General features: G+C 51.1%; 1 protein-coding gene across 4 annotated transcripts in view, besides 1 other annotated feature; it reads left to right on the top strand.

Annotated features, from left to right (window-relative positions):
- ANO1 (anoctamin 1) overlaps positions 1-12,902 on the top strand; it is a 223,534-nt gene that overhangs the window by 49,446 nt on the left and 161,186 nt on the right. The gene's annotated exons all lie outside the window — the stretch shown is intronic.
- Positions 10,069-10,467: a silencer, noted in NCBI's record as "fragment chr11:69871617-69872015 (GRCh37/hg19 assembly coordinates)". NCBI's record gives its function as "represses an EF-1alpha promoter that drives an FKBP-Casp9 reporter gene in an ReSE screen in HepG2 liver carcinoma cells {active_cell/tissue: HepG2}" and the evidence as "EXISTENCE:reporter gene assay evidence [ECO:0000049][PMID:32094911]".

Below are 12,902 nucleotides of genomic sequence, written 5' to 3' on the forward strand. Positions count from 1 at the left end.
GTGTCACCCGGCGTGCTCACTCACTGACCCGGAGGCAGCCCAGCCCTGGGCGGGTGGGGCAGAGGAGACCCTGTTCTTGATGTGTCTGAGGGTGGTGGGACTGCACTTTCCTTTGGCCCTGCCTTGGAGCTCACTCTGATACGGGCTCCTGCTGGTGTCACCACTTCCACGTGGCTCACTGGGCCATCTGGAGAGCTACTTTTGCCCAAGCTGTCTTCTCACCTCTGTCTAGGGCACTGTGCCGAGTGGTCGGAGATCACCTCCTCGGCTCCTGGCTCATCACTGGGAAAGATGGGAGCACCCAGGGACTGCAGCAGCTGTGGTCCCCAGGTCCTCGGATACGTCATCCTGCAGCCCCACAAGGGACCCAGAAGGGCCTGGGAGAGGGTGCTGGGCAGGGTCCACGCGACTCCACAAGGAGAGATGCTGAGACATGTCCACAGCCACACAGCCGTGAGCAATGCACTCCATTCCCGGACACACTATCCTGCCTCCCTGCCATCTGCGCTGGTAGACCTTACAGCAACAGGGGTGCAGACGATGAACTGCTTGGCTTCCTTGGGATTTCTTTTCCTTTCTTTCTTTTTTTTTTTCTTTTTTTTTGAAACGGAGTCTCACTCTGTTGCCCAGGCTGGAGTGCAGTGGTGCAATCTCGGTTCACCGCAACCTCTGCCTCCTTGGTTCAATGAATTCTCCTGCTTCGGCCTCCTAAGTAGCTGGGACTACAGGTGCACGCCACCACGCCCAGCTAATTTTTGTATTTTTAGTAGAGACAGGGTTTCACTATGTTGGCCAGGCTGGTCTCAAACTGCTGACCTCATGGTCCACCCACCTCAGCCTCCCAGAGTGCTGGGATTACAGGCATAAGCCACCGTGCCAGGCCTGACGTCCTTGCAATTTCTATGTGCATTTTGGCAAAAGTAATGGAATTTGAGAATGCGTGATGGGAGTGAAAACCAGCAATCGGATATGGTGGCGGCTTACCTATGCTGTTGAACCTGGATCTGGAAGTGAAGAGAAGATGAGGTGGTCCAAGCACCATTCCTCAGCCCCTCTGGGGTCATGTGATTGTGGTCACAGGACAGTGGCCAGCCTGGGATGCTGCGGATGGGGAATTCCACAGAGAGAGCTAAAACTAGGACGCTGTAGGGGCTCCGCTCTGCCACCGTCAGGCTTGGGAGCTCCTGGGAGCGCGGGGCATGCATTTCAGTGGCAGCCTCATTTGTCTTCCTGCACAATCCCGCCAGGGACCTCAGGGTCTGCAAAAGAGTTGCAGAGGGTCACGGCTCAAGCCAGGCCCCAAAGTAGGGCTGTGGGGCTCACCCTTAATCTGGCTGCACTCTAGACATTGTGGGCAAAGGAGATAGGGAATCTGCTATCGATACAGGGCTTCTACCAAGATCTGTGACTAAACCAGGCCATTTCCCAGCTGCTTGTCTCACACTGCAGCCCTCTGTCCCTCAGACATCCTGCCCCTGCTTAACTCTTCTACCAAGTGTCACTGTGCTTCGTACTAGAGATTCTACTTAGTTTACTTTCTTTCTTTTCCCGGTCTTTCTTCCCCTCTAGAATCCAGGCTGCCGGGGGCAAGGATTCCTGTCTGCAGGGCTCACTGCCCACTTCCTTAGAAAGATGCCTGGCACAGAGCAGGGCTCAGCCAAATACTTGTTTGATGAATGAACAAAATCCCACGCGGGCCAAGGTGTGTCTTCTCTCCCCATCCGGAGGAGGATGAGGCTTAGCGGTCCGAACAAAGGCCAGACGCCCTAATAATGCTTTTCTTGTGAACTTACAGTTTTTGTGGTTTCTTTTTCCCCTACCCCAACGGAACTGCAAAAAGTCTACACAATGAATCATAAAGGAAACTCTTTGGGGATCAAATGAAATTCTTTTTCAGCCCAGAGCGTGTTTCCCATTTTGATTTTCATTTTTATTTTTTTCACTTAAGGCCAGGAGTTCAAGACCAGCCTGGGCAACAGTTTTCTTCCTTCCTTCCTTCCTTCATTCCTTCCTTCCTTCCTTCCCTCCTTCCCTCCCTCCCTTCCTCCTTTACTTCCCTCCCTCCCTCCCTCCTTCCTTCCTTTCTTTCTTTCTTTTTTGTCTTACTCTGTCACCCAGGCTGGAGTACAGTGGCATGGTCATGTCTCACTGCAGCCTTGACTCCCAAGCTCAAGGGAGCCTCCCACCTCAGCCTTCCGAGTAGCTGGGATTACGGGTGTGCACCACCACACCCAGCTAATTTTTAAATTATTTTTGTGTGGAGACAGGGTCTCACTATATTGTCCAGGCTGGTCTTGAACTCCCTGGGCTCAAGCAATCCTCCCACCTCAGCCACCCAAAGCTCTGGAATTACAGGCATGAGCCACAGTACCTGGCCTATTTTCCCATTTTTAATGAAGCCTTTTACACAAACAAACCCATATGCCTATCCTCAGTGGCTCATGGGCAGGTTCTAGCTACCCCCTGCCTGCAACTCCAGCCCCCTTTCCCTGATGGTCTCTGAGAGTTTTCCTCAATCCCCTCCAAGAAAGATCAGCTTCCCCAACCATCCATCCCATCAGAACCAGTTACATAGTTTGTGGGGCCCAGTCCAAAACAAAAATGCAGGCTTTGCTCAAAACTTATGAAGAGGCCAGGCATGGTGGCTCATGCCTATAATTCCAGCACTTTGGGAGGCTGAGGTAGGAGGGTCTCTTGAGCCCAGGAGTAAGAGATCAGTCTGGGCAACAGAGCAAGACCCCATATCTACAAAAAAAATTTTAAATTTAGCTGTGCATGGGGGCACACACCTGCAGTCCCAGCTACTCAGGAGGCTGAGGTGGAAGGATCTCTTGAGTCCAGGAGGTCGAGGCTGCAGTGAGCTGTGATCACACCACTGCACTCCAGCTTGGGCAACAGAATGAGACCTTGTCTCTATGAAAAAAAAATAAAGAATTTCAAGACCCTTCCAGCATCATGGATGGATGGTGCTTCCTGGCCCTTTGTGGGCAGGTGGGCTGTGAGCTGGTCCTAGCTCTCAAGCCGTGAGTGGAGGTGACATGGCTCGCTTCTGAGCTGGAGCAGTTCTCCGCTGCTTCTAGACTCCACTGCACTCTCTGTGCCTGACAGTGTTTGGGACCGTAGCTGCACCACCTGCCCAGACCCTTCCAGACTACACTGAGCAGAACCCCCTCCCAACCTGGCTTGGACATTGGAAGCACAAGCAGAAAATAAAGTGTTTTTGGAAGTTCTGAGGACCAGGGCATGACTGTTGCTGCAGCAGGATGTAGCCCATCGGACAGATACTCCAAGGCAACGGAAAGACTGAAGAACAAACCTGGGCCTCAGGCTGAAGCCCATCCCCTGAGTCTGTGCCAGCAAGAGACCACACATTCATTATGCATCTGTTCATCTGGTGGGAATATTTACTGAGGACCTGCTAAGTGCTGGGCATGGAGCTCAGTACCGGGGACATGGCCAAAAATAGGCAGCCTCAGTCTCAGCTGCAGAGGAGCTTCCTCCCAGCCGTTCACACACAGTTAGAGTCCATGGAAGGGAGAAAATCCTGCGGCAATAAGTACGCAAAGTCCATGGCATTGTGCAGCCATGTGGCGGAGGGGGGCCTGTCCTCACCTGGGTGCCAGGGAGGGCTTCTTGGAGGAGGTGCCCCATTCATTCATTTATTCATTCGTTCAACAAATGTTGAGAGCCTGTTCTGAGCCAGACCTAAGCAGGCCTCTGTGGAAGGGGTTTAGCAGTGATCAAAATAGTGTGCTGTTCTCCTGCACCTTGGGATGCAGGGGAGGGAAAGAAGAACCCCCCCACACACACACACACACACATTCACTCCCCCGTCTATGGACTCACAACCCACGCTACACACATGCCATGCACATGCACACACACGCACGCACACACACATGCACACACGCATGCAAACATAAAATGTGAGGAGGAAAGGGATGTTCTAAAGGGAAAGAAAGCAAGGAAACCGTTACATTAAGGAACAGGACTCGAGAGGGTGCCGCAGGAAATGGTCCAGGTTTTCCCCCAGTGCCCCTTCAGACCTGCCCTCTGGGTGTGCAGGAGCCGGCTCACCCAATTCACACGGGCTCACCAGGACTCAGCTCACCCGAGCCAATTGTATCTTCCCAAGTATGCATTCAGTGACATCACCCTGGGAGCTTAAAATGGGCCATGATGGGAAGGTTTACACCTCCGCAATTGGCAAACACTCTAAGTCAGCTTTCATGTGTTTTCTTTCCAAGGGCCAGTTTACCCACCCACCACTGTCTGGGGCTGGCTCTTCTCAGCCCCTTGGGTAATTCTAGGGCAGGCCTCATGACTTCCTGGTCGTCTCATAATGAAAGCTTTCCCAGCCACTTTTAATCACAAAAACATGGTCTCATGTGGATCACTGAAATGTCCAGTCCCACGCACGTCTTCACTGAAAACCGTCATCTTCCTGGCTTCACCGGCCCAGCCAGCCCCAGGCTGAGGCCTCGGAGTGGGAAGGGGGCCGAGGGCCCCTGGCTCTGGGTCTCTCTGCTTCTGCTTCTCTTCCCTCTCCCCTCCCCAATCTCTAGGCTTCCCCCGGACCCTCCAAGGTTGGGGAGAGGCCAGCAGGGCAGGGAGGTCAGGCTTGGTGGGCGGGCGCTAGGTGATCTGGTGGGCTTCTATCCCCCCAGCTGGGGCAGATGTTTAAAGCTGACTCATTTGAGGGTACTCTTGTGGATTGTTTAGTCCATGGGGTAATGAAAACATCCAAATTGGACCCCATGAGCACATGTGTCTGATAGCGAAAGCTTGGGACCCCTCACTCCTGCCAGTTCCTGCCCAACAGCCCACTTCCTATCCACAGGAAATCCCCCACACCCTTCTTCCATCCTCACCACCCACCCTCATCATCTCTGCTGGTGGTGGGGTCAGTTCTCACTCAGGACAGCCGCACTCCACTGCACAGGACACTTATGCCACCCTCTTGCCAGATGCCTTTGAAGAAAGAGTCAGACTGGTCCACCCTCCCCCAGCCCCTGGGGCTCCTTGAGCCTCTCTCCAGCCTTGGCAGGAGGAGGAAAAGCAGCACCTCCCTCAGACAGCTGGAAAGGCCCTCTTCCTTCCCAGCTCAGTGGGTCCGGCCAAGGGTCACCAGACGGGTATTTGTCCCCACCTCCCTACCAACCCCAAGAACACACTCCACACCCCTCTTCGCTGCTGCGGTGTGAAGCTTCAGCCTAACCCAATCCCACAGAGTCCATCTCGACAGCCTGGGATGACATGGGTTCCCCAGAGGGGGACAGAGTGCTGGGTGTGGGTGCCAGTTTAGACCCAGGGGGCAGACTTAGAGGAAGCCTCCCAGAGGTGTCTCAGCAGAGAACTAAACCCAGAAACAAGCCCGAAACGCATTCCCATTCTCCAAGCATCAAAAGGCTGGACTATTCAAAACAAACAAAGAGCTAACCTTTTTAGAAAAACAGGCCCAGTGACCATTCAGCCTCTCATTCGTAGTCATCGTTCGCGGTCGTAACTGCTACTTACCGAGAGGTGCTTCGCTGCGGGCGTCGGGCTGGGTGCGTCCTTTACAGACAGGCCATAAGTGAGCACGTGGACTCGCTGTGGGAATTCATATTTCTTCTGCAAGGAAGAATGACTCATATCCAAACTCACTCAGCTGCCAAGGGGGAGGAGGGATTCGAACCCCCATCTTCTACGCTCCCAAACGCATGCCCATAATCCTCCTGTCCCCATGGAATTATCTAGTGGAGAAAAAATATTGATCAGCAAAAAGAGAAAGAAAAATGATAGAACTTCCTAATATGCCAAACATTGTCATCCCGCTTAAGACTAAAGCTCTGTTTCATCCTAAACTCCAAATGCCAACGTGCTCACTGACTTGACGAACGTTGGTTAGGCCTCGTGCATGCGAGGGAGCGTGGTGGTTGCAGGGGGCTGTCGTGACCTATACTTTTCACTCCCACCCCTTCTTTTTCTTTGTAAAGCTATATACCAACTTCAGTTTTTAGAATAAGGAGAGTGCTTTTTGTTGTTGTTGTTTCTTTTTTTTTTTTAGCTCTATCAGAAGAAATTAAACAGAAACAGAATGGAAAATAAAGTGTATTTTTAAATAAACTGAGGACGTGGTTCCCATTGTCCCCCGGAACCTGGTCCATTTAAAGCGGCCTCATTATTTTTAATGCATCCACTTCCTGGTCCCTCTCTTCCTCGGTTTTTCCCATGTCGATCGTCTGAGAAATTCCAGCGGTGACATTTGTTAAACATCAGCCCAAGGCTGGGCAAGGCCTCGGGAGCCAGGCTCTTGCCCAGGAAGGCTCCAGAGACTGAAGCCAGAGCCCTGTAAACTCATCCCTCTGTGTCCACTGCCCTGCCAGGAGCCCCTTCACATCCCACTGCCTGTGACATTCACAGGCAGGAGCGTGCGAACTGAATCCCAAAGAGTGCGCAGAGTATTTTAAAACTGAGCTGCTGTCACACAAGAACTTGTTCCCCCAAAGACCAGAATGTCCAAAAAAAGGAGCAGACGAAACCAAGCATAAGGTGTGCTGCTGTGTGCTCAGATCAGACCCAAACTGAGAGAGTCCTGCTTCTCCCTGGGGTTGGGCCCCTTCCCTCCTTGCTCCACTTCCTGCCGCTTTGACATCTCACGTTGGGCAGAAATCCCAGAGGAAAAAATGCTTTCCGAGACAGGCCCATGGAAGGCCCAACTCACCCTCTGGGACTTATTCAACTTGGATTCATCTGTCTGCTTTTGCCTCTATTTTAACCAAAAGACCCCATGAAGGTAGGGTCTTGGTATGGCCTCTTCACGACTCTGGACCTCAGCACACATCAAGGTTCTGGCACACAGTAGGTGCTCAATAAGGACTTACTGAATGGAAGCCGGGTGTGGTGGCTCACGCCTGTCATCCCAGCACTTTGGGAGGCCGAGGCAAGTGGATCACGTGAGGTCAGGAGTTCAAGACCAACCTGGCCAACATGGTGAAACCCCGTCTCTACCAAAAATACAAAAATTAGCCGGACGTGGTGGCAGGTGCCTCTAGTCCCAGCTACTTGGGAGGCTGAGGCAGATGAATTGCTCAAGCCTGGGAGACGGGAGATGGAGGTTGCAGTGAGCCGAGATCATGCCACTGTACTCCAGCCTTGGCAACAGAGTGAGACTCCATCTCAAAAAAAAAAAAGAATGCAAGAGTGAAGCCACTGATGGCCCCATAGAGCCAGCCTCACCTAGCTTGCTTTCCCCCAAATTTGAGTGTGTTCACTTAGTGGGTGTGGCAAGCAGAATCACGACCCCCAAAGATGTCTGTGTCCTGATCCCCAGAACCCGTGAATCTCTTTTATTACACTTCAAGGAGGAGTTAAGGCTGTAGATGGAATCAAGGCTGCTAATCAGCTGACCTTGAGGCAGGGAGATAGCCCCAGACTATCTGGTGGGCCCAACATCATCACAGGGAGCTTATAAGTAAGAGGAGGCAGGGGAAGCAGAGTCGGGGAAGACATGAGGACAGAAACAGAGGTCAGAGGGATGCACTGCCAGCTTGAGATGGAGGCAGGGGCCACAAGGCAAGGACTGCAGGTGGCCTCTAGAAGCTGGAGAAGGCAAGGAAACAAGCTCTCCCTGGAACCTCCAGAAGGAACAGCCCTGCTGACACCTTAGCTTTAGCCCAGTGAGATCCATGCCGGACTTCTGGAATTTAAGATAATAATCATGTGCTGTTTTAAGCCACTAAGCTTTGTTGATCTCCCGCTGCACAGTGGGAAACTCGTGCGCTGGGAGATGAGGGGAAATGCATGCCATGGCTCTGAGGCTTAATCATTGTTGGACCGGCATGTGTTAGTGCCTGCACCTTTCCGCATTGACTCCATTTAGCAGGAGCATGGCCATGTATAAGTCAGACTCAGTCTCTGCCCTCCAGAGCTCGCCATTTGGGAGATCCCAGGCTAAACCATGTCTAGTGGATTTGTTCATGGCACGTCTTGTCAGAGGCTTCTTAGATGCCAACACAATGAATGTCCAACAGTGCAGAATATAGCCTTCCCCAAATGTAGATGACCATGGAGCATTTTGGGTGGGAGTAGGGGCACTTTCTTTACTTCTAGGGGTGAGATTCGGCCCAGTACTGAGATGGTCTAGTCGCTGCCAACATCAGGGCTTAGGGAAGTTGGCTTTTGTTCTGTCCTGGTTTAGGAGTTGTAGCCTCATGCTCACACTGCAAGGCTGCCCATTGGGGAAGATCTGTTTCTTTTAAGAAATGCCAAATATTTAAACCATCAGTAGATGGTTAAACAATAAAGGCCATGTTAATGTACCTTTCCTTCCCAGCATCTGCATAGGAGTGTGTGTCTTTATCCCAGCCATGTGTGGGCCAAGAATCAAAGAAAGAAAAGAGTGGTGAGAAGAGGATGGGGAAGAAGACTGGCCTGTAGTTGCTCTGTGCTTTACATTTCAGGGATTTCAAGTTTACCAAAGTCTTGTCGAGAAAATGCAGGTGGTTCACTGCAACCTACCAATACTATCCAGGATTGCTTGGGTTGTAAAAGACAGAAAACCCAAGACCAGCTTCAGACATAGCTGAATCCGGGGGTCTAATGTTTCCAAATCTCCATCTCTCTCCTCCTCTTGGCTCTGCTGTTCTTTGGGTTGGGTCCACCCTCAGGACTACTCTCTTAGTGTCCAGATGGCAGGCACAGCTCCTGGCTTTCACCTTGGGCAGCCCCAGTGGACAGAGAGCTTGCCCCTGGGCACTCCAGCAGGGAGCCCAAGGCTATCTCTGACGGTCCTGCCTGAGGTCTTTGACCCTCCCTAAATGAGTCGCAATGGCCTGGGGGATGCTTAGCTGTGTGTACCCACTAGCAGATCCCTGAGACCATCTGGAGCGGGGGGACACATAGCCCATAAACCACATGGGCTGAAAGGGGGCAGTGGTGTTTCCTTAAGGAAAACCAGGACAAGAACGGCACAAGGGAGGGAGTGAGTGCCGGGCAGAAGACATTCGCCCGCTAGACCTGCTTCCCCTGCAGAGAATAGCTCTTCTCAACGGAGCTTCAGACAGTGGCCCAAAGAGTGGTCCCAGCTAAGGTTTCTTATGCCAGTGATGGGCTTGGCACTGTGCCAAGGGCTCCCTGGGCACCGTCTGCTTTCATCCTTGCAATACCCCTGGGAAGCTGGAGTTTGTGGCCCTCTCCCCAGTTCACAGATGGGGAAACTCGGGCTCAGAGACCTTGATTTTGACTCGGGCTCCCAAGTTCTTCGCCACCACCACCACTCTCAGCAGCTTGCAGAGCTGCCTCTGTCTGGATGGTCACCAGGCACAAAGCCCCGCTGACAGCCTGGACAGACATAGGCGGATCCCACCGCCCGAGCTGCCTCCCCTGAAAGGAGGACCTGGGCCTAGCAGGGGGGCACATAGATAGACTTGTCTGCTTCTCCTATTGACTATGAGCTTGTGAGACAGGGACCACACAGGCACACTCCAAGGGCAGCAGGGAAGCTCTGTTGAGCCAGGGAGTTGTGGGGTGGGACAGACAGCTGCAAGGACTTGGTGCTGAAATGCTGGGCTCCAGTGACATCTGAGCATCTGAGGGTCTCAGTTGGAGGAAAAAAGATGGACAAGAAAATGAAAATAAAAGCCTTCCATGGCTGTTCAGGAAACCACATGGGCTGGAGCTGTGCCTCAGAACACAGCTTTGGCCTCAGATCTGAATTCCATGCCCAGCTCTTCTCCTTGCCAGCTGGATGACGTTGGGCAAGTTACTTCACCTCTCTGGTCCTCAGACTTCTCATCCAAACAAGGGCATGTGACAGAATGTACAACTTATAAGGTGGTAGTGAGGGTTAGACAGTAGCATCCAACACCTTAGCACTATGCCTGTTATGAAGGAAGAACTGGTGTCTGCTGCAATCATGATCATGATAATGATGGTGGTGGTGGTGATTGTGATGATGAGAATAATGATGGTGGTGGTGGTGACAATGATGACGATGGTGCTGATGGTAATGGTGATGACAGTGAAGATGATGATGATGATGGTGATGGTGGTGATGGAGGTGATGACAATGATGGCGATGATGGTGGTGGTGATTGTGATGATGACAGTAATGATAGTGGTGATGGTGATGACAATGATGATGATGATGATGGAGGTAGTGATGACAGTGATGATGATGATAATGATGGTGGTGATGATGGTGTTGATGATGGTGGTGGTGGTGATTGTGATGATGACAATAATGATGGTGGTGGTGGTGACGATGATGATGGTGGTGGTGATGGTGATGATGATGGTGGTGGTGATGGTGATGATGATGATGATGGTGGTGGTGGTGACGATGATGATGGTGCTGGTGGTAGTGGTGTTGACAGTGATGATGATGATGGTGATGATGATGGTGGTGGTGATGATGATGATGGTGGTGGTGATGGTGATGATGATGATGGTGGTGGTGATGATGGTGATGATGATGATGATGGTGGTGGTGGTGACGATGATGATGGTGCTGGTGGTAGTGGTGATGACAGTGATGATGATGATGGTGACGATGGTGGTAGTGGTGGTGATGATGATGATGATGATGGTGGTGGTGATGGTGATGATGATGGTGATGATGGTGGTGGTGGTGATGATGATGTGGTGGTGGTGATGATGATGATGATGATGACGGTGGTGGTGGTGATGATGACGATGGTGCTGGTGGTAGTGGTGATGACAGTGATGATGATGATGGTGATGATGGTGGTGGTGGTGATGATGATGATGGTGGTGGTGATGGTGCTGATGGTGATGATGACAGTAATGATGGTGGTGGTGATGACAATGATGATGATGATGGAGGTGGTGATGACAGTGATCATAATGATGGTGGTAGTGGTAATGATGGCATTGATGATGGTGGTGGTGGTGGTGGTGGTGGTGACGGTGATGGTGGTGGTGGTGATGACAATGATGATGATAAAAATGACAACAATAATGATGATGACAACAGTAATAATGATGATGGTGGTGGTGGTGATGACAATGGTGATGATGGTGAAGATGGTGGTGGTGGTGATGCTGGTGACAATGATGATGATGATAGTGATGGTGGTGGTGATGACAATGATGATGATAAAAATGACAATAATGATGATGACAACAGTAATGATGATGGTGGTGGTGGTGGTAGTGGCGACTGATATCACCCTTGCTGCCATCATTCAAGAGACCAGGGTCACTTTCTCAAATTGATGAAACACACTGTAGTCAGGAGGTTGCAATGAGCACACAGACCTTGAATCAGAGTTCTGTTCCAGGCTTCTTACCAAGTGCTGAGCCTTTCTGAGCTGCGGATCCTGCACCTCCCCAGCTCTCGACTCTCCAAAGGCCCTGCCTGGTCTGGCACTGCCACTGTGCTGACCTCACATCCCAGGGCGTTTGCCTTTCACTCACCACCACCCACACTGGCCACCTTAACACCAGGTCCTCAAACACCAGGTGTGTTTCCACCCCAGGGCCTTTGCACTTGCTGCTGCCTCTTCCTGGGACACTTTTCCCCTGTATCCATGAAACTCATGGCCTCCCCTCATTCAAGTCTCTCTGCTCAAATGTGACCTCCTCAGTCAGGTGTGTCCTAAGTCCTCCTCAGGATGACAGCAACACACTCCACTGGACACTTTCTATGCACTTTGCCTGCTTCGTCTCTCTTCACGGTACTCATCACTCCCAGACAAACCATATGTAGATTCTTTTTAACTTATGATGGGGTTACAGCTCAATAAACTCATTGTAAGTTGAAAATATTGTTGAGTCAAAAATGCATTGAGTATGCCTAACCCACCAAACATCCTAGCTTAGCCCAGCCCACCTTACCGTGCTCCAAATGCTTACATTAGCCTACAGCCGGGCAGAATCATCTCACACAAAGCCTATATTATAATAAAATGCTGACTAGCTCATGTAACTTATTGAATACTGGAAGTGAAAAACAGAATGTTTGTGTGGGTACCCGAGGTACAGTTTCTACTGAAGGTGTCTCGCTTTCGTGCTTTGACACATTTGTAAAGTTGAATAATCCTCAGCGGAACTACCGCAAGCCAGGGCCCATCTGGGTTGGATGGCTTTTCATTCATCAAACTGCAAACACTTAAGCCACATGGAGGTGGGGACTCTGTTTTCCCCCAGCATGTGGAACAGGATCTCGCACACAGTAGGTCCGCAGTCTGTAATTGAATCAACAGCAGTTGCCATTTCTGTCACCTGGAAATAGTGACAGTCAGGTCTGGGCAGGAGGCACTGTTGTGGCCACGTGTGCCAGGGCAGGGGTGATTCCAGGGAGGTGAGGGATGACAGTGAGCTTCCTAGGGGTGGAACACGCCCTTCTTGCTAGTGGGGAAAGGTGAGGTGGTGCTTGCCTGCACTGGACGTGGTTAAGCTGCCACCACGGAGGCGCATCCTTAGAGCACAGCTTTAGGCACATCATAAAGATCTTCGTCTGTAGAAAGCCATTTCAATATTTGTGTTAAGTCATCTGGGTTTTGGGTCTCTGTGGTTTTTTGTTGGTATTCAAAATAATTAAAGTACACCCGTGGGTTTTTTAAGAAGCATTTTCTTTTTGTGATCTTAGAAAATCGATTTCAATAAAAGTTAAGGTACTACTGATTTCCCTCAGAAGAAATAGATCCGAATAAGCGCCAATTCTGGTTGCCAAAGGGAGATGAATACATTTTAAAATCTGTCAGGTGTGACCCGAAGTGTCTTTAAAGATGAGTCTGTCACATTTAGGCCCTACTAACTGTTGATAATTAGCAGGCAGTGCCTGGGGATTTAATGTTTATTTCAAGGGGGACCGCTGGGTTCAGTCCCCTCCCCGCTCCACCAGGCGCCTTTCTCTGATGCTGAGCTAAGGGTAAGGGCAGGTGCCTGTGCACCTC

The sequence above is a fragment of the Homo sapiens genome, chromosome 11, assembly GCF_000001405.40.
Source record: "Homo sapiens chromosome 11, GRCh38.p14 Primary Assembly".
Classification (NCBI taxonomy): Eukaryota; Metazoa; Chordata; class Mammalia; order Primates; family Hominidae; genus Homo; species Homo sapiens.